General features: G+C 45.2%; 1 pseudogene; it reads left to right on the forward strand.

The window, feature by feature from the left end:
* Positions 19,317-20,530, forward strand: HMGN1P38 (high mobility group nucleosome binding domain 1 pseudogene 38; annotated as a pseudogene).

Below are 20,753 nucleotides of genomic sequence, written 5' to 3' on the forward strand. Positions count from 1 at the left end.
CAAAGTCCCAGCATCTTATTCTCTTGCCCTAGGGAAAAGTATTGGGTGGCTGTCAACTGTAAGGATTATGCACCATGATCAAGTAGAATTCATCCCTGAAATGCAACTATAATTCAACATATTCAAATCAATAATGTGATACATCACACAAACAGAACGAAGGATTAAAAGCATACAATCAGCTCAATAGCTGTAAAAAAGCATTTGACAAAATTCAATATCCTATCATGGTTAAAAAAAAAAAAAATGCAACAAACTGGGTATGGAAGGACGTACCACAACATAATAAAGGTCATCTATGAAAGCCCACAGCTAACATACTCAAAAGTGAAAAGCTGAAAGCTTTTCTTCTAAAAAAAAAAAAAAAAAAAAAAAAAAAAAAAAAGAAAGAAATAAAGAATGCAGTGCATAATCCTCTCTTCAAACTGATCATGAGATTTGCCCATTTCTAGTCTGAATATTAGGGCTGTCTCCTAAATCACAGTGTGGCTGACTCTGCTGGCAACAGCAAGGGGGTGGAGGTACTTTAGTCACACATTCCCCTAGTCTCCATCAACTACCCACCTTTTTTGGACATGGGGAAACTGAGACTTTCTCAGTCTTACTAAGGCCAGCACGAATACAGCATCAGAACAAAATCCTTCCAAGCTGATTGCTGCCCCAAAACCCCCTACCCTAGAAAAAAAAAAAAATTTTTTTTTTCTTTTTTTGAGACGGAGTCTCACTCTGTCACCCAGGCTGGAGTGCAGTGGTGCCATCTCAACTCACTGCAACCTCCGCCTCCCGGGTTCAAGCAGTTTTCTGCCTCAGCCTCCAGAGTAGCTGGGATTGCAGGCGCCTGCCACCATGCCCGGCTAATTTTTTGTACTTTTAGTAGAGACGGGGTTTCACCATCTTGGCCAGGCTGGCTTTGAACTACTGACCGCATGATCCACCTGCCTCAGCCTCCCAAAGTGCTGGGATTACAGGCATGAGCCACCAAGCCTGGCTGAAAAAATTGTTTAAGTTACCATTGGATGCCCCCCTAAGAAGGTCTAAGCAACTTGGACACTTCTGGCCTCACTGCTCTGCAATTTACAACCCAATGTCCGATGCTACTGAAATCCAGACACACAACACTGAAATGCATCCAGTGGTTACTGTAGAGTTTAGTTGACCAGATGCTCAATCTAATTCTCCCATGTGCCAGTGGCCACTGGTCAGCAGCCCATACCAGCAAGGCTCGGCTCTCAGGACCTCTGATTTTATAGCATTGATGGAACAGACTCATGCAAGCCTTTGTCTTTTAGGACATGCTCCCTCTCATCATGCAGCTGGCCAGAGAGAGGCTGAGGGTGGGAGAGGGAGTCCTTTACTGAACGTTTGACCTAAATGGTATAATAATAGTTATCTTTTATCTCCGCTTCACAGTTTATCAATAAAGCATGGTGCAACTTTGTCACCACTGGGAAAACATGGAAGCAGAGAAAGGAAAATCTCCATGGAGATATTTCTGTCCTTGGCACATCCCCTGAAAGGCAAACACCAGCTGTCAAACTGGGCTGTCTTCAAGAGACTCCAGCCCCTCAGTGCCCATCCATGGTAACTCTAAGATTTAAGAAGGAGGGAGAGGGTGTGGTTGTGGGGTTAGTGGTTAATGCGCCTTTGGACCAGTGGAGCACGTGGGCTGGTGTTTCTCCTCCTCTCTGGAGTGGCCCATTACAAAGCAATCCTTGCTGTTTGTTTGCCATTGCTTTGGACTCAAAAGCTGCATCCCCACAATCCCCTCAGCCCTCTCCCAGTCCAGCCATGACCGCAGCCTTCTCCTGATCAGCCTTCACCACCAGAGGGCTCAATGTAGCAACAGGAAGGGAAGCCAGCCACAGGGTCCACAGGGGGAGGAAAACACAATCAAGAAAGGAAGAGGTTGTGTCATGGGCCATGTGTGCCTATGTGACCAACAACACCTCTACTGTCCTTTTGGTAAAAGCCTTCGGCTGCTGTGGGATCTGCAGAGGATAGATAGATAGATGATAGATAGATAGATATACATATACATATATGTATGGGTTTTTTTGTTATTTTGTTTGTTTTTTTTTTTTTTTGAGGCGCAGTTTCACTCTTGCTGCCCAGGCTGGAGTGCAATGGCACGATCTCACTCACCACAACCTCCGCCTCCTGGGTTCAAGTAATTCTCCTGCCTCAGCCTCCCTAGTAGCTGGAATTGCAGGCATGCACCACCATGACCGGCTAATTTTTTGTTTTTAGTAGAGACGGGGTTTCTCCATGTTGGTCAGGCTGGTCTCAAACTCCCAACATCAGGTGATCTGCCCACCTCAGCCTCCCAAAGTGCTGGGATTACAGGTGTGAGCTACCGTGCCCAGCCACATATATGTATGTTTTATATATAATTTATGTTAATATTTTATATACATATTTACATTGCATATATACATTTGTTTATATCTATACATTATACTTTATATGTTTATTATTTGCATATTTTTACTTGTATTTTTCTGTATGTTTTTATGTGTATAGAAATATATAGTTTTTTTTTTTTTAAATGAATCCAGGCTTAATAAGTCATATCACATGAGAAGGAATCAAGTTTCCTGGGAACCACAGGGTTTGGACTACGGGAGGTCAGTGCTGGAGGGAGAAAAGTTTCCAAGAGAACCAAAGGCAAAAGTTGAGGCCACTAGGAAATGCTCCTTCTCTTTCTCTCTCTCCGTCTCACCTGCCTGTGCCTGTCTGCCCACCCCTAGCCTGACATCTTCATAGGTCCCGAGTCATTTTACATCTCTTCCTCTACTGTTACTTATCTTTTACTTCTTCATGTAATCAACCTTCATTTCACCAGTTATCGACTTCATTATCACTGGTTTTTTAGATTATCAGTTGAAAAAGTTTTATGTAAAATGATTTGTAAATCATATTTTCCGTTGTCATTTCAGAGATATGGTCCAACAGGGGAAAAAAATTGACATATGTAGTAAAAATCACAGACAAAACCTACATCTTTAAGAGAATATTCTCTCTTCGACTGAGTATGATTTATGTGTATGTGATTATCCCACTGGACATCTTCAAGAAAAGTTAGCCAAATAGGCAATCAATTAGAAAGGGCACTCCATGTTAAAAGTATATTTATTATTTATAAACCATCTTTCTTGATCGATTGCCTTCCATTTATTGGTTTTTCTCAATGATGCAATGTAAACTGATGACTTAAGCATTCATACTCATAACCATGTGTCCAGATATTCAATGGAAACTGCCTGTAAGCCAGCTAGGCTTCAGCTACTGGGAACAGATCCTCTCTACCCTCCCCTCCTCCATGGTATGGGTCATTGGTCCTGCCTTGCCCTACATAACTCCACTCCTTAATGACTCCCCAGGTTATGAAGCAGCCTTTTTCAGGACTGACGCTGTCCCGCTTCTCAGCCCTAGGAGAAGCTCCTAGAACTATATCTGCTCTTGCCCTCTTCCAGCACCAAGCTTCTGCCCAGCACAGGCTTGTCCACATTTTCCTTGACCCCTGGCAGCAGCTATCTGATCTGTGTGTTTATTTGTCAAATGCTCAGAGCAAAGGATAAAAATATTACTCTTTCTTTAAAATCACATGCTACCATTATGCTAATAGCTGCTTATGATCTTTTTGGTTCTAGCTTTTCTAGGCAGAGATATCCAGTGGGTTTTGAGGGAAAAGGGGTTCTTTTTTTTCAAGCCCAATATTGTAAGCACTTTGGCGATCCTATCACATCTTTGAGGCACATTTCTGCCTTGGATTAGCAGGTATGGAAGAACACCACTTTCCAACAATCTGTCACCGAAATCGAGTCTTCCTAAAACTCAGGTGGAAGCAACTGATAAGGCTCACAGCATCCAAAATTCAAGCCTAAAGGTATTTGAATCCGTTCCAGACCAAGAAACAGCCAAAGCCTGGGAAACAAAACTAGCAGCACAACCACATGAAAAGTTTTACTAAGTGATACTTATCTTTATGTGCAATGTGCTTTGATATTATCCAGTCTGTTCTATTTTATTTGTAAAAACCGGTTGCACTCATTAAATTGATTTCACTATTGGGCTGCATCCCATAGTTTTGAAAGCACTGCTTTTACCCATCCTAGCTGAAGAATTAAAGCTAGTTAATGTCCTCAATAACAGGTTGAGAGTCAAGTAGGAAAAACACTGGAGACCTGGGGCCAAATCCCTGCTCTTCTACTGCCTTGCTAAGCAAGGGAGGATGCATCGCTGTGCCTCACTTTCCGACTTAAATTGAAGTTGCCTGCTCTAACTCACAGGTCTATTAGAAGGATCTAATGAGATGAAAGACAGGTCTATCAGAGAGATCTAATGAGGTGAAAGATGGAGAGCACTTTGAAAATTTTCAAGCATCATTCAACTGTAAAGGGGTGGGGTCAGTCATCGAGAAGAAAGAAGGGCAGAATAATCTGTATTTACACGCTGCTTCTCTACAACTCAGCTGGGTTGCTTCTAGATGAGGCAGAGCCAAGGTGGGAGCTGAAAACAGCTGGGGTCATCACTCTGACTAGTCCTAGTGATTGAAACCAACAAGAGGAAGAAAACAAAGGGATACTGACAAAGAGAAGGAATGTGTAGCACATCCTGAAATAAGCATCATCTTATTGGCCAGCAATTTACCACTGAGCCACCAGCAACGAGGAACCAATGGCTCAATGTCCTACACTCTAAGATATACCACAGACTCACTCAATACTATTACATATAAAAATATATATCATAGGCCCATGCAGTGGCTCACGCCTGTAATCCCAGCACTTTGGGAGGCTGAGGTGGGTGGATCATGAGGTCAGGAGATTGAGACCATCCTGGCTAACACGGTGAAACCCCATCTCTACTAAAAATACAAAATAATTAGCCGGGCATGGTGGTGGGCAACTGTAGTCCCAGCTACTTGGGAGGCTGAGGCAGGAGAATGGCGTGAACCCGGGAGGTGGAGCTTGCAGTGAGCTGAGATAGTGCCACTGCACTCCAGCCTGGGTGACAGAGCGAGACTCTGTGTCCAAAAAAAAAAAAAAAAAAAAAAAAAAAAAGCAAAGGTAAGGCTTGTTATGTAAATTTAAGACAATGATAAGAGTGTCTGGTGTACAGACACCCTTACAAATGGAGATTTCCTTTATAGATCTAAATTTCTCTTATAAAAGGGTTTCAGGATAGCCAGCTAAATGTCAGAAAGGTATATTAATATCTTGGAGATCTATTTAGTTCAATACGCTGTCTTTTTTTTTTTTTTTTTTTTTTTTTGAGACAGAGTCTTGCTCTGTCACCAGGCTGGAGTGCAGTGTCACAATCTCGGCTCACTACAACCTCCACCTCCAGGGATCAAGCAATTCCCTTGCCTCAGCCTCCCAAGTAGCTGAGACTACAGGCACGTACCACCACGCCCAGCTAATTTTTTGCCTTTTAGTAAAAAGGGGGTTTCACCATGTTGGCCAGGATGGTCTCAATCTCCTGGCCTCGTGATCTGCCTGCCTTGGCCTCCCAAAGTGTTGGGATTACAGGATGAGCCACCACACCCAGCCAATAGGCTGTCTTTTCAACTTAACCATTATTTCTTAACTCAATTTACTGAGCTCAGAGTAGAACTCATTAAGAATAAGGCAAAGAAAATATTCTCTGTGCCTGGTTTCAGCATGTACAGATCTGAAAAAGAAGCAAGCCTACTTTCTCTGAGGGCCTACCTTTCATAAACCCTTTATCCTGGAGACCTTTCTTTTCACACTTGAAAAGAAAGGGGTGGGATAGTAACTAAGCCAAAAGGTTAACAGATTCAATTTTTCTCATCTATTAGGCACTTAAGCTTTTTATTTGCCTTGTCTTTTTAAGGGTCTGACATGGTGGCTCACACCTGTAATTTCAGCACTTTGGGAGGCTGAGGCAGGAAAATCACTTGAGTCCAGGAGTTCAAGACCAGCCTGGGTAACAAAGCGACATCCCCATCTCTACAAAAAAATAACCTTTTAAATAAATTTTTTAAAAGGTTATTTTAAAAGAGGGAGTAAAAACATTGAAATCTTTATAGAAGTTTCTGCACAACCATAGGCATCCCTGGATGAGACTAATTCAGGAGCCCTCATTTTTAAATGCACTTCTCAAAGTGCAGTATTGTTCATTTGGAACATTTCACTGTAATTCTATTTACCTTTAGTAAGATTTTGCCATTTCTGTAAGTATTTGTTGCTTCCAAGGCCTAATACTTCTATATGTATGGGTAGGCATAGCCAGAAAGTAGAATACTCAATTCTTCAGAAAGTAAGGATCCCATTTTTACCTTGAATCTTGGCTTTGGCTCTCAGATTCCCTTGATTAACTTAGCCTGTACTTTTTTCCCTAACTAAGTGCACAAGAAAAAGAAACAAAGGGAATAGAACACAAAAATCCCGCGAATCTCCAAAAGCCAAAGTTCACACCCCCTGTAGTATTACCATTTACTGCCAATTTCTGGCTGGCTCAGTCAGACATCTGAGGTCTCTAACTGGATCCAAGCCAGTTAATTATTTCATTGAATTTGATCCTGGACCTAGTCCAGCTTGTTATGACATCCAAATCCTGCTCAGACTTAAAATTTTGCTCAAATTTAGATAGCTCTAAACATAAATCTGTGGAGCTTCAGACTCCAAGAGAGAACTTACCCATGAGCCCCAGGTGCTGCAAGAGAGCAATGGACACAATGAGTCCAGCTGGTGTCACACTTGGTCACTCAGTGCTTCTGGGGGTTACGAGAAGCTCTACTTTGGATCCCACTTCTGCCACCACCTGTTAAAAGAAAACCCATTTTCAGCTTTTCTGCTCTGGTTTCTCCCCATCTTTGTGGTTTTATCTACCTTTGGTCTGTGATGATGGGGTTTTGGTGTGGATGTCGTTTCTGTTTGTTAGTTTTCCTTCTAACAGTCAGGACCCTCAGTTGCAGGTCTGTTGGAGTTTGCTGGAGGTCCACTCCAGACCTCGTTTGCCTGGGTATCACCAGCAGAGGCTGCAGAACAGCAAATATTGCAGAATGGCAAATGTTGCTGTCTGATCGTTCCTCTGGAAGCTTCGTCTCAGAGGGGCACCTGGCCGTATGAGGTGTCAGTTGGCCCCTATTGGGAGGTGCCTCCCAGTTAGGCTACTCAGGGGTCAGGGACCCACTTGAGGAGGCGGTCTGTCCGTTCTTAGATCTCAAACTCCTTGCTGGGAGAACCACTACTCTCTTCAAAGCTGTCAGACAGGGATGTTTAAGTCTGCAGGAGTTTCTGCTGCCTTTTGTTCAGCTATGCCCTGCCCCTAGAGGTGGAGTCTACAGAGGCAGGCACCAATAACAGACAAACAGAGAGCCAAATCATGAGTGAATTCCCATTCACAATTGCTTCAAAGAGAATAAAATACCTAGGAATCCAACTTACAAGGGATGTGAAGGACCTCTTCAAGGAGAACTGCAAACCACTGCTCAATGAAATAAAAGAGGACACAAACAAATGGAAGAACATTCTATGCTCATGGATAGGAAGAATCAATATCATGAAAAAGGCCATACAGCCCAAGGTCATTTATAGATTCAATGCCATCCCCATCAAGCTACCAATGACTTTTCTTCACAAAATTGGAAAAAACTACTTTAAAGTTCAGAGGGAACCAAAAAAGAGCCTGCCTCGCCAAGACAATCTTAAGCCAAAAGAACAAAGCTTGAGGCATCATGCTACGTGACTTCAAACTATACTACAAAGCTACAGTAACCAAAACAGCATGGTACTGGTAACCAAAACAGAGATATAGACCAATGGAACAGAACAGAGCCCTCAGAAATAATACCACACATCTACAACCATCTGATCTTTGACAAACCTGACAAAAACAAGAAATGGGGAAAGGATTCCCTATTTAATAAATGGTGCTTGGAAAACTGGCTAGCCATATGTAGAAAGCTGAAACTGGATCCCTTCCTTACACCTTATACAAAAATTAATTGAAGATGCATTAAAGACTTAAATGTTAGACCTAAAACCATAAAAACCCTAGAAGAAAACCTAGGCAATACCATTCAGGACGTAGGCATGGGCAAGGACTTCATGTCTAAAACACCAAAAGCAATGGCAACAAAAGACAAAATTGACCAATGGGATCTAATTAAACTAAAGAGCTTCTGCACAGCAAAAGAAACTACCATCAGAGTGAACACGCAACCTACAGAATGGGAGAAAATTTTTGCAATCCACCCATCTGACAAAGGGCTAATATCCAGGATCTACAAAGAACTTAAACAAATTTACAAGAAAAAATCAAACAACCCCGTCAAAAAGTGGGCAAAGGATATGAACAGACACTCCTCAAAAGAAGACATTTATGCAGCCAATAGACACACGAAAAAATACTCATCATCACTGGACATCAGAGAAATGCAAATCAAAACCACCATGAGATACCATCTCACACCAGTTGGAATGGCAATCATTAAAAAGTCAGGAAACAACAGGGACTGGAGAGGATGTGGAGAAAGAGGAACACTTTTATACTGTTGGTGGGACTGTAAACTAGTCCAACCATTGTGGAAGACAGTGTGGCAATTCCTCAAGGATCTAGAACTAGAAATACCATTTGACCCAGCCATCCCATTATAGGGTATATACCCAAAGGATTATAAATCATGCTGCTGTAAAGACACATGCACACGTATGTTTTTTGTGGCACTATTCACAATAGCAAAGACTTGGAATCAACCCAAATGTCCATCAATGATAGACTGGATTAAGAAAATATGGCACATATATACCACGGAATACTATGCAGCCATAAAAAAGGATGACTTCATGTCCTTTGTAGGGACATGGATGAAGCTGGAAACCATCATTCTGAGCAAACTATCACAAGGACAGAAAACTGAACACCACATGTTCTCACTCATAGGTGGGAATCGAACAATGAGAACACATGGACACAGGATGGGGAACATCACACACCGGGGCCTGTTGTGGGGTGCGGGGAAGGGGGAGGGATAGCATTAGGAAATATACCTAATATAAATGACGAGTTACTGGGTGCAGCATACCAACATGGCACATGTATACATATGTAACAAACCTGCACGTTGTGCACATGTACCCTAGAACTTAAAGTATAATAATAAAAAATAAAATAATAAAAAAAAGAAAACCCATAGACAAATTAAATTTAACAGGGTTTCACTGAGGAAAGAATGATTCACAAACTCGGCAGCCCTAGAATCAGAATAGGTTCAGGGAGACCCTGGTGTTGTCACATGGTAAAAGATTTATGGACCAAAAAAAAAAAAAAAAGAAAAAAGAAAGAAAGTGATGTACAGAAAATAAAAGTGAGGTACATAAGCAGCTGGATTAATTATAGTCTGGCATTTGCCTTATTTGAACCAAGTATGAAAAGTAGGCTGTCTTTGATTGGCCAAAACTCAGTGACTGGTACAAGAGTAGGCTACAGCCTTTTTACACATCCACTTTAGTTACAGTTTACTACGTATGGTGAAACCTTTAGGCCCAACTAAAATATTTAAGGGGGCAGCTTTAAGCTAAGCTTAATTTAACGTAACAAAAGTGCCTTCCCAAGCCCCCCTGACCAGCCAACTGATTTTCAAGCCTCCTGGGAGCCAACCATCCTCTAAAGTAGGAAGGCTTTGTTCCTCAGTGGGTATTCTCTAGAAACGTAAGAACCCAGTCAGGGAATGAGCCACCTTCGTGTTTAAGGGAAGGAAGAATTGAAAGCCAGGCATGGTGGCTCATACCTGTAATCCCAGTGCTTTGGAACTTGAGGCCAGGAGTTCAAGGCCAGCCCAGGCAACATAGTGAGACCCCATCTCTACAAAGCATTTAAGAATTAACTGAGCATGGTGGCATGCACCTGTAGTCCTAGCTACTCGGGAGGCTGAAGCAAGAGGATCCTTTAAGCCCAGAGTTCAAAGTTATAGTGAGCTATGATTGTGCCACTGCATTCCAGCCTAGACAACAGAGCAAGACCCTATCTCTAAAATAAAAAATAAAAGAGGTAGAGGGAACAAGCAAAGAAGTATTTCTACTATTATCTAAGAGTCTTCCCAAATTCTGAAAGAAGTTTTGCCTGAATCATAAAGATGAATAATGATAATGGAAAAAGTATCAAAGTCATGGGAAACAGAAATATGTCACATGGACAGAGAACCAAGTACTGTTTTAAGGGCTGTATATGTACAAACTATTTTGACCCTCACAAAACCCCTATATGGTAGGTACTTTCACCATTCTCAATTGCTAATGAGAAATTGGAGCACAGAGAAGTTAAGTGACCTGCCCCTGGTCAAACAGCTAAGAAGTGGCAGAGCTGAGATTTGAACCTAGACTGTCCGGCTGGAGTGGGGCCTCTGAGCTTCTAGGCACCGCTGCCTCATGCAGTTTGATCCTATCAATAATAACAGCAAAGACATAAAGAGCATGTTCCCATTAACAAAGTGCTCTCATTCACTTACTCAAAACAACATTTTTGGTGTAGCACCCCCACCAGGCGCAGGCCCAGAGATAGAGTGGTGAGCAAGTAATACACAGGTCCTGCCCTCATGGTGCTTTCTCTTGAGCAGTGGAGACAGATCAATCAGCTGCTCTTAAAAGTAAGTGTATAAGGGCAGTGGTAAGTGCTCTAAAGGAATAGGCATCACAGCCACTGCTCTCTGAAACAAATATTATTTTCATCATTTCACAGATGAGGACATTGGGATTTCAGAGTGAAGTGCAACATAACAAAAAATTCACAGAACTTAAGATTTTTTAGTTGTATTTCTTTTTGAGATATACAGATTTAATATATCTACATGATTTGGCATTCAAAAGATATTAGAAGGCAGTCAGAAAATGTCTCCTTTCCTCCCCTGGCCCCAGGATCCCAGTCCCCTCCCAAAGACAATCAGCATTGCCAGTTTCTTGGGTGTCTTATCAGAGACAGGCAGCAACAATCACACACACACACACATTTTCTTTCTTTGCACAACTTCAGCACGCTGCACCCTTGGTTTTTTTTTTTTTCTTCTAACAAATTAATCCACAGTGAGCCTCCCCATCTTCTTCATGGCTGCGTGGCATTTCGTTACATGGGTGGCCCACACTGTTTTTAGCCAGTTTCCCACCAGTGGTCATTTAGGTTATTTTCAGTCTTTTAACTAGCAAAACAAAGCTGCAGAGAGCCACTAGATATATAAACCATTTCATACTCATGCAAGCGTATCAGCATGACGAACTCTCGGAAGTGGAATTGCTGGGTGTATGGCCATAAGCATTTGTCATTTTGATTGATATTAACCACATTGTCCACCATTAAGATGTCACCAGTTTATGTTCACCCAGCGGTAGATGCCCGTTTCACCAAACTCCAACACAGTGAAAACACACTGCTGGGAAAATCCAGTGACCCAGGAGCTCACTCCATCACTCTCCCGCTGTGGGTCTTTGGGCAGCCCTCTCAACCTCTCTGATCCCCAGGCATGTCCTCAGAAAAGTGGGCTTCATAGTGACCCCTGTTCTGTGTTCCCGTGGTGTCTAACACACAGCACTTTGGTGACTAGGTGAAAGAAACTGGAGCTCCACAGGAGAGCAGCTCATGAGAGATGTCCCCAAGGCCAGGGCCACGAAGGCCAACTGCAGTGAACCAGGGGCCAGACAGGACACCTCAAAGCAAGCAGCAGCAAAATGGTTTAGGCTCTGGAGTAGACGGGCCACCCAACAAGCTGTGTGGCCTTAGGCAAGCTGCTTACTCTCTTCTTTCCTCCTCTGAAAAATCCCTGAAACTAGAGGCAGGCCAGCAAATGCACGTGAAGCACCAAGCACACAGCAGAGGCTCCAATTCCAGTTACGGCTGCTGTGGGCACCCCATGTCCCCAGCACTTCCCATTCATGCACACCAGCAACTCTACTGAACACGAGGAGCCTGCCTCTGCCTTGCAGGCAGGAAGATGCTGGGAGCAGCCCTCAACCAATGAAGGATGGCAGCTGGTGACAAAGAATCCAGCTTCTTTGCATCTGGGGGAAAGAACTCCGCAGTGTGTTTGATGCGATCTCCTTGAGGTCCTCCGTGGTACCACATCCCAGGTGCCCACAGCGACAACTAGCTCTTCAACCTGCCCTGTTGGCTTCCTTCCTTTCCCTATTCTCGCCTTCCCCCTCCTGCCCCATCGATGCTCCCCGAGACTGCCTCCCAAATCATCTATTAGCACTCAAACCCTAACTCAAGGTCAGCTTCTGAGGGAGCCCAGCCTAAGACAGTTGTTATTACTACACTTAATATAATAGATATGTCCCTATGTGTAATTGCCATAGGTATCATTATATGTAAAATATATATGTTGTTATTGGTTAGGAAAAAGACCCCAAAAACAGAGGGAAGGACAAACAAGGAGGGAGCAGTGGTGACACAGAGCCCCTTCGATGAGGCAAGACACCAGGGAAAGGCAGCCACCACCTCAGCCAGGTCTGTGGCTCTCACATTCTAGAACAGCATCTCTTAACACGTGTGTCATAGATGTTCAGTGGGGCCCGAGGTGAACTGCGAGACACCACTCTCCTCTAAGCCTCCTGCCCTGGAGGGGCAGGACCAGTGTGTCTTCTTTTCTTTCAACTGTATTTTTTCAATTGTAGTTGAAAAAAAAAACCCAAAACATAAAATTTACCATCTTAACTATTCTTAAGGGTACGCCTCAGTAGTATTAAATACATTTGCAGTGTTGTGCTACCATCACCACCATCCATCTCCAGAACTCTTTTTATCTTTTGGTTTGTTTTGAGATGGTGTCTCACTCTGTGGCCCAGGCTAGAGTACAGTGGCGTGATCTCTGCTCATTGCAACCTCCACCTCCTGGATTCAAGCGATTCCCCTGCCTCAGTCTCCTGAATAGCTGCAATTACAGGTTTGTACCATCATGCCTGGCTAATTTTTGTATTTTTAGTAGAGACAGGGTTTCATCATGTTGGCCAGGCTGGTCTCAAACCTCTGACCTCAAGTGATCTACCTGCCTTGGCCTCCCAAAGTGCTGGGATCACAGGTGTGAGCCACCATACCCAGCCCTTTTTATCTTGTAAAACTGAACTCTATACCTATTAAACAATAACTCCCCATTTTTCTCTCCCACCAGCCCTGGGCAACCACTGTTTGACTTTGTCTGTATGAATTTTACTACCTTCAGATCCCAATGTAAGTGGAATCATACAGTATTTGTCCTTTGCAACTGGGGTGGGACAATTCTCTAGCATATTCCGCCATCCCTGCAGAACTCAACCTCCAGCTGCCCACGGTGGGAGCAAGCTCAGTAACACCCCTTTACTGGCTGCCTGCCCTCCCGTCTCATTTCCTCAAATCCCTACAGGATTTGCTTCTGGGGGAACTCAAACTTAGGCAATTGAGCACCTGCCAAGGTGCCACAATTGAACACATACTAGAGGCTTTATATATGTTGCACAGCATCTATCAAGAAACAAAAATAAAAGACATTGCTCATGCATGAAGAGAAAGGTCAGCCCTTTGTTTCAAGACAAATGTCCACAATCACAAAGGGAAGAATGTTCCAACTCTGAGGCCAAGCCAGGTGAACAGAATGTGACTGAGCAGATCCTTTTCAGGTTACACATTCTCTGACAGAAGGAACAAAAAGACCAACTTTCCAATGGAGGGAGAACCAGGTTTCCAAAGGATAGCAAATGCATTGTTTATTGTCTGGGGTTGGTCCCATTGTTGAGCACACATTCCTTGGAGAAAACGTTTTGCCAAGATGATTGAGGTTTAGTCTGCCCAGCTTTTGAAAATCTGCCCTTTCCTTGCTCCAGGGTTGGCCTGAATTCACCATCACAGGTAAGGAAGCAAAAAGCAGAGGCCTCTTCACCCGTTCCAGGAAAGGCACAGTGAACTCCAGTTAAGTTTGCGAGCTGGATCATTAGCGTCTCATTAATGACTTCAATCTCTCACAAACACAGGGAAGACACAGAAAACCACTGTCTGAGCCACGAGCTGTAATTGCTGCTGTCCTTCTAAGCAGGGGAAAAGCAGACCACGCTTTGTGGCTTCTTAAAAGCCCTGTTCGTTAATGAGGTTTCCTAATTTAGGGCAGAAGAAAACTTCTGGGTTATTATTAGGCTACAAATGGAGGCATGTGTTTCATTTAATCGCCCTACTTAACAAAAGAAACTTTGCTTTTGTAAATTAAAGAATTATTTTTAAGTGTTAGAGGCCTCTGGATAACCTTGAATAAAGCCTCAAACATGATCAGGCCTTGGTGGCCAATCTAGAAATCTAACAGACCAGGGCAAATGATCCCAAAGGTTTTGTCCAGCTTTAACAATCTGTGGTTTGCAAGGACAAGTGGTTTCAAAGGCTTTGCCCAGCTCTAATAACCTATGGTTTTGTTGATACCACCTCCTCCCTGCCTCCGACAGAGGTCCCTTGCAGATACTGAGCCTTCAAAATCCACGTCTTAATTGTATCTATTCTATTAATAACTCTTGGGGTCTTTAGATGCTGTTGGCAACCACAGCACCTCTTATCTGCTTGGGATCCCGTGCAAGTTGCGCACAGAGGATCCCATCTGTGGGCTCAGAAGCACAAAGGGAACAGCAAAATCTTCTATCTGCCATCTATGGGGAAAAAAAAAGGTAATTACCTCTGTCAGTTGCATATGTTGAGTCACCCTGAGACAATGGAGGTCTTCTTCAGGCTGAATTTAACATCACAAATCATCACCTTAAATGCATGGGTACTGGAGAGGCGTAGCCAGGTATTATGAAGGCTTTAAAACCCATACTCATAAAATATAACAGAAAAATTCGTCTTTCAGGTTTACAACCAACAAAATCTGTGATATCTCTTTTGTGAATGCTTTTAATGTTCTCTGCAGAGCAGCGAGCAGTAGACCCTGGTGCAAATGTGGGGTTGAGCAGCTCCCTGACTGATAAGCCAGACTTCAGGCTCATTCTGGAGTCTTCCAAGACCCCTGGGTTACAAGCAAAGTCAGGTTGATTGCATTTGGTTTGAAGTCAATTCTGCAACCCAGGTGTTTGGGGCTTTCCTTTTGTACGGTTTGCTCTAGAAGGGCGGTAACCCTGTAATGACCAGCTACCTTCATGGGTTCTTTGTTTGAGGTCATCACGGAGACAACACAGAGTGTCCTTTGAGGCTCTTTTTGTGGTGTTCGCTCTTTCTGTTTTTGTTTTTAAGAGACAGGGTCTCTCTCTGTCACCCAGGCTGGAGTACAGTGCTATAATCATAGCTCATTTCAGCCTCAAACTCCTAGGCTCAAGAGCTCCTCCTGCCTCAGCCTCTTTAGTACCTAGAAATACAAGTGTGTACCACCGTACCCTGCTAAATTTTTGTGTGTGTGTGTGAAGACAGGGGTCTCACTGTGTTGCCCAGGCTGGTCTTGAACTACTGGGCTCAAGTGATCCTCCCTCTTCAGCCTCCCAAAGTGCTGGGATTACAGGCATGATCCACAATGGCCAGCCTGTGGCATTCACTTTTCTCATCACTAGCTTTTGACCCCCAAATCACCCCCATTCTCAACCCTAACCCAAATTGCCTCGAAGAGCCTGGATCAACCCCTGGGGGAGTCAAAAGAGGCTGCCTCGTGTCCAGCTGGAGCCAGGCGCTGTGAGGCAGACAGATAGCAGAGGGTCCTCACTCTCAAGGGCTTTGGGCTGACACCCATGCCCTGCCTCCCCTCTGCTTTCCCAGTTCCTGCCAGTCATGGCCTCCCAAACCTGCTGACTTCCTGTGTTCTCTGACTCAGTGAATGGCACCAACATCCCCTAATCTCCAAGTTACCAAGTCAGAAACCTGCAAGTCATCTTTGATTTCAATCAAACCACCTCTTGGTCCTCCTCTTCAATCTGTTCACTCAGAGGTGCCGCAGGATGTAACGGGATGTGCACTATGCAGTTGTAAGGGCGATACCCTCTGGAGCTGGCAGCGGAAAAGGGCACGTTCCACTCCTTCCTATTTCCGTCATCTTAGCTCTAACCTCCATCTGCACCCTGGAAGAGAGTCAGCCCGGTCTGGAGGAGGGCAGTCCTGGCGCCTGCCTGAGTTTTGCCCCACCCACCCAGTCTCCACAGAGTCATCTCTTGAAAAGTCATCTCTTACCACGTCACTCCCTGCTTCAAACCCTCCCTCCAGTGGATCCTATTGTCTTCAGGATAAGATCCTAACTCCCTGGCAAGGCTTACAAGACACAAGAGGCTCAGCATGACTTGGCCCCTGCTTCCCTCTTCAACTTCAACTTAGGACTACACAACCACTATGGGAGACCTTATATTCCAGCCATGTGAGCATCAGGAGATTCTCAGACTCTCCCACATCATTACTCACCTTAGGGCCTTTGCATTAATTGTTTCCTCTGCCTAGGCCTCGACCACCCAGCTCCCACTCACCTCTGCCCTTACTTCATGGTTCACCTAGCTAAACTCCTATGCACCCCTCAGGACCCAGCTCAAACATCACCTCCTCCAGGCTGTACTCCCTGACCAGAATTGCCTGCATCCTCTCTCTCCCCAACTTGAGTCTAGTCTGGCTTCTTCACCAAAGGGCCTGTAAGAACAAAAAGCAGATCGAATTCATAAGCTCAATAAATAGTTACTGCATGCCAGACGGGGGTCTCCCAGGCCCCCCGACTCCTCAAGCCCTCTGAATGGTTGAAGAACCTCCTGTTGCAACTCTTCCCCTAGAAAAGAATTTCTTTGCAGCATGCCCACTTCAGGAAGCTCCCAGTGCTGCGTGAAATCTCACCAGCTCAGCACTGGCCTCTGCCCTTCCTCCTGGCCAGCCGCCCCCTTCGCCTCTCTGCTCTCAGCCCCATCAGCCTGGGCCCCCCTCGAGCTCAAGCCTCTCCAAGACTGTTTCTGTTGCTCTCTAATTGCTCAGTGGAGATACCATCTCTTCCTTTACCAATTGTTCCTGCACAGTAAAGAGAAACCACCTGGCAAAGATCCAAAAACCAATCATCCTACAAAGTTATCACTGGCTCCTTGAAAGAAAATCGGACCTATGTCCTGCCCCAGGCTCTCTCTCCTCCCAAGCTTTCTGACTCCTCAGTGAACCTGTTGCACTCTATTTCAAAAATATTTCCTGCTCCGTTCAAATTGCAAAGGGTGAACACATTTAATGAAGTCCGAGACGACCCATTTCCCCCAAGCATCCTACCATGTGTCTAGTAATGACAACACTTGGCCTCTTTATCAAACCCACCAGCTCCTATGCCTGCAGCCGGCAGCCTCTGCTTGCCCCAGGGGGGAGTCCTTCTCAGCAGAAGCTGCCCTGAGCAGATCAAATCTTCGGATATCATTCAGGTGTCCTGCTCAGTCTGTTCCTAACCAAGCCTGGGGCAGGAACCCTGGCACAGGTGGTGGTGTTCAGAGGAAAGAATGTGGGCCAGGAGCCTTGAATGGTCCCAAGGGCCTAGGATGATGCTAGGTGACACTGATCTGTTCCAACTAAGACTCTTACTCTTGGGAATCAGCTTAGTAGCTTCCAGTGACAGTCCCAGACTCTGGCACTGAGAGGAACTCAAGAAACCACTGAGTGCAGGGCTCACGGTGAGCACCTCTTTGCTAAACATGCCTCATATGAGGACAGGATGTCAGTAATGTTGTGGTGGGGAAGAAAGATGTTGGCAAAGGGAGGTAGAAGGCCCTCTGCAGCCAGATGGACCTAAGCACCTCCCTGGTTCACTAATTTCTGCATTGAGCTTCTGTATACACCGATACCATTTTTGACTATTACTGTATGCCGGGAACTGTGCTGAGAGCTAGCTATACATACCTTAGTTCATGTCTTCCTCTAACCCACCCAGGTGGAAGGAATATACTATGAACCCCAACCGACAGGTAAAGACATTGAGATTTAGGGCAGCTGTAACTCACTAGTATCATCGAGAGTCCACCAGGGCACTGGTGTGTCCGGAATTGGTGGGTTCTTGGTCTCACTGCAAGAATGAAGCCGCGGACCTTCGCGGTGAGCGTTACAGTTCCTAAAGGCGGCGTGTCCGGAGTTTGTTCCTTCTGTTGTTCGGATGTGTTCAGAGTTTTATTCCTTCTGGCGGCTTCGTGGTCTCACTGGCTTCAGGAGTGAAGCTGCAGACTTCGCGGTGAGTGTTACAGCTCTTAAGGCACCGCAGCTGGAGTTGTTCGTTCCTCCAGGTGGGTTCATGGTCTCGCTGGCTTCAGGAGTGAAGCTACACACCTTCGTGGTGAGTGTTACAGCTCATAAAGGCAATGTGGACCCAATGAGTGAGCATCAGCAAGATTTATTGTCAAGACCGAAACAAAACCACTGCGGCCTCGGGCAGCCTGCTTTTATTCTCTTATCTGGCCCCACCCACATCCTGCTGATTGGTCCATTTTACAGAGAGCTGATTGGTCCGTTTTGACAGGGTGCTGATTGCTGCCTTTACAATCCTTGAGCTAGACACAAAAGTGCTCCACCTCCCCACTAAATCAGCTAGATACAGAGTGTGATTGGTGCATTCACAAACCCTTAGCTAGACACAGGGTGCTGATTGGTGTGTTTACAAACCTTTAGCTAGATACAGAGGGCCAATTGGTGTATTTACAATCCCTTAGCTAGACATAAAGATTCTCCAAGTCCCCACCAGACTCAGGAGCCCAGCTGGCTTCACCCCGTGGATCCCACACCGGGGAGGCAGGTGCACCCGCACTCCTCAGCCCTTGGGTGGTCGATGTGACTGGGCACCTTGGAGCAGGGGGCGGTGCTCGTCGGGGAGGCTCGGGCCGGGCACAGGAGCCCACCGCAGGGAGGGGAGGCTCAGGCTTGGCGGGCTGCAGGTCCCAAGCCCTGCCCCGCGGGGAGGCAGCTAAGGCCCGGCGAGAAGTCGAGCACAGCAGCTGCTGGCCCAGGTGCTAAGCCCTTCACTGCCTGGGGCTTGTGGGCCGGCCGGCCGCTCCAAGTGCGGAGCCCGCCGAGCCCACGCCCACCCGGAACTCGCGCTGGCCCGCAAGCGCCGAACGCAGCCCGGGTTCCTGCCTGCGCCTCTCCCTCCACACCTCCCTGCAAGCTGAGGGAGCCGGCTCCGGCCTTGGCTAGCCCAGAAAGCGGCTCCCACAGTGCAGCGGCGGGCTGAAGGGCTTCTCAAGTGCCGCCAAAGTGGGAGCCCAGGCAGAGGAGGTGCCGAGAGCGAGCAAGGGCTGCAAGAGCTGCCAGCACGCTGTCGCCTCTCACTGGCATTCTCCCTCAGGCCCGTCACACACCAGATACCACGCTCGTAACCACTGGGCCACGCTGCAGAGTCTCCTGACTAGGGAGCTAAACAATAAATAAATGTGGCCTAGCTCAGCAGCTCGGGCGGCGGGAGGAGCGGCAGCGGCAAGGCAGCCCAGTTTCGCGAAGGCTCTCGGCGCGCCGCGGCCCGCAGGCACCCGGCACGCGCCTTCCCCGCCGCCAGGATGCCCAAGAGGAAGGTCAGCTCCGCCGAAGGCGCCGCCAAGGAAGAGTCCAAGAGGAGATCGGCGCGGTTGTCAGCTAAACCTCCTGCAAAAGTGGAAGCGAAGCCGAAAAAGGCAGCAGCGAAGGATAAATCTTCAGACAAAAAAGCGCAAACAAAAGGGAAAAGGGGAGCAAAGGGAAAACAGGCCGAAGTGGCTAACCAAGAAACTAAAGAAGATTTACCTGCAGAAAACGGGGAAACGAAAACTGAGGAGAGTCCAGCCTCTGATGAAGCAGGAGAGAAAGAAGCCAAGTCTGATTAATAACCATATACCATGTCTCATCAGTGGTCCCTGTCTCCCTTCTTGTACAATCCAGAGGAAAATTTTTATCAACTATTTTGTAAATGCAAGTTTTTTAGTAGCTCTAGAAACATTTTTAAGGAGGAGGGAATCCCACCTCATCCCATTTTTTAAGTGTAAATGCTTTTTTTTAAGAGGTGAAATCATTTCCTGGTTGTTTATTTTTTGGTACAACCAGAAAGTAGTGTGGGATATTGAATTATGGGAGGCTCTGACTGTCTCGGGTGTCAGCTTAACATTCCATAGATGGGGGGTTAGTTTTTATATCCCATAATACAAAGCATATTAAATGGCAATATGGAGTCAGTCCTGCATTTAATGTCTTGAACATTCTAAATTACTTCTATTACCATGTTGTTTTTTAGTAGAATTGTTTCCTAAAGAAAACCACTCTTTGATCATGGCGCTCTCTGTCAGAATTGTGTGTACTCTGTAACATCTTTGGTTGTGGTAGTCCTGTTTTCCTAATAACTTACTGTGCTGTGAAAGATTACAAATTTGAACATGTAGTGTACGTGCTATTGAGTTGTGAACTGGTGGGCCGTATGTAACAGCTGACCAACATGTGAAGATACTGGTACTTGATAACCTCTTAAGGAAAATTTGCTTCCAAATTTTAAGCTGGAGAGTCACTGGAATAACTTTAAAAAAGAATTACAATACATGGCTTTTTAGAATTTCGTTACGTATGTTAAGATTTGTGTACAAATTGAAATGTCTGTACTGATCCTCAACCAATAAAATCTCAATTATGAAAAAAATAAAAATAAAATGTGGCCTAAACAATAAATAAATAAATAAATACCAATTTCTCCAGGAAATGCACATCAAACCCCACCGCAATCACTTCATACCCATTAGGATGGCTCTAATTTTTTTTTAATCAGAAAATAAAAAATGTCAACAAGGATGTGGAGAAATTAAAACCCTTGTGTACTGCTATGGGAAAAAGTATGGCGGTTCCTCAAAAAATTAAACATA

This window comes from Homo sapiens, chromosome 15 (assembly GCF_000001405.40).
Source record: "Homo sapiens chromosome 15, GRCh38.p14 Primary Assembly".
NCBI lineage: Eukaryota > Metazoa > Chordata > Mammalia > Primates > Hominidae > Homo > Homo sapiens.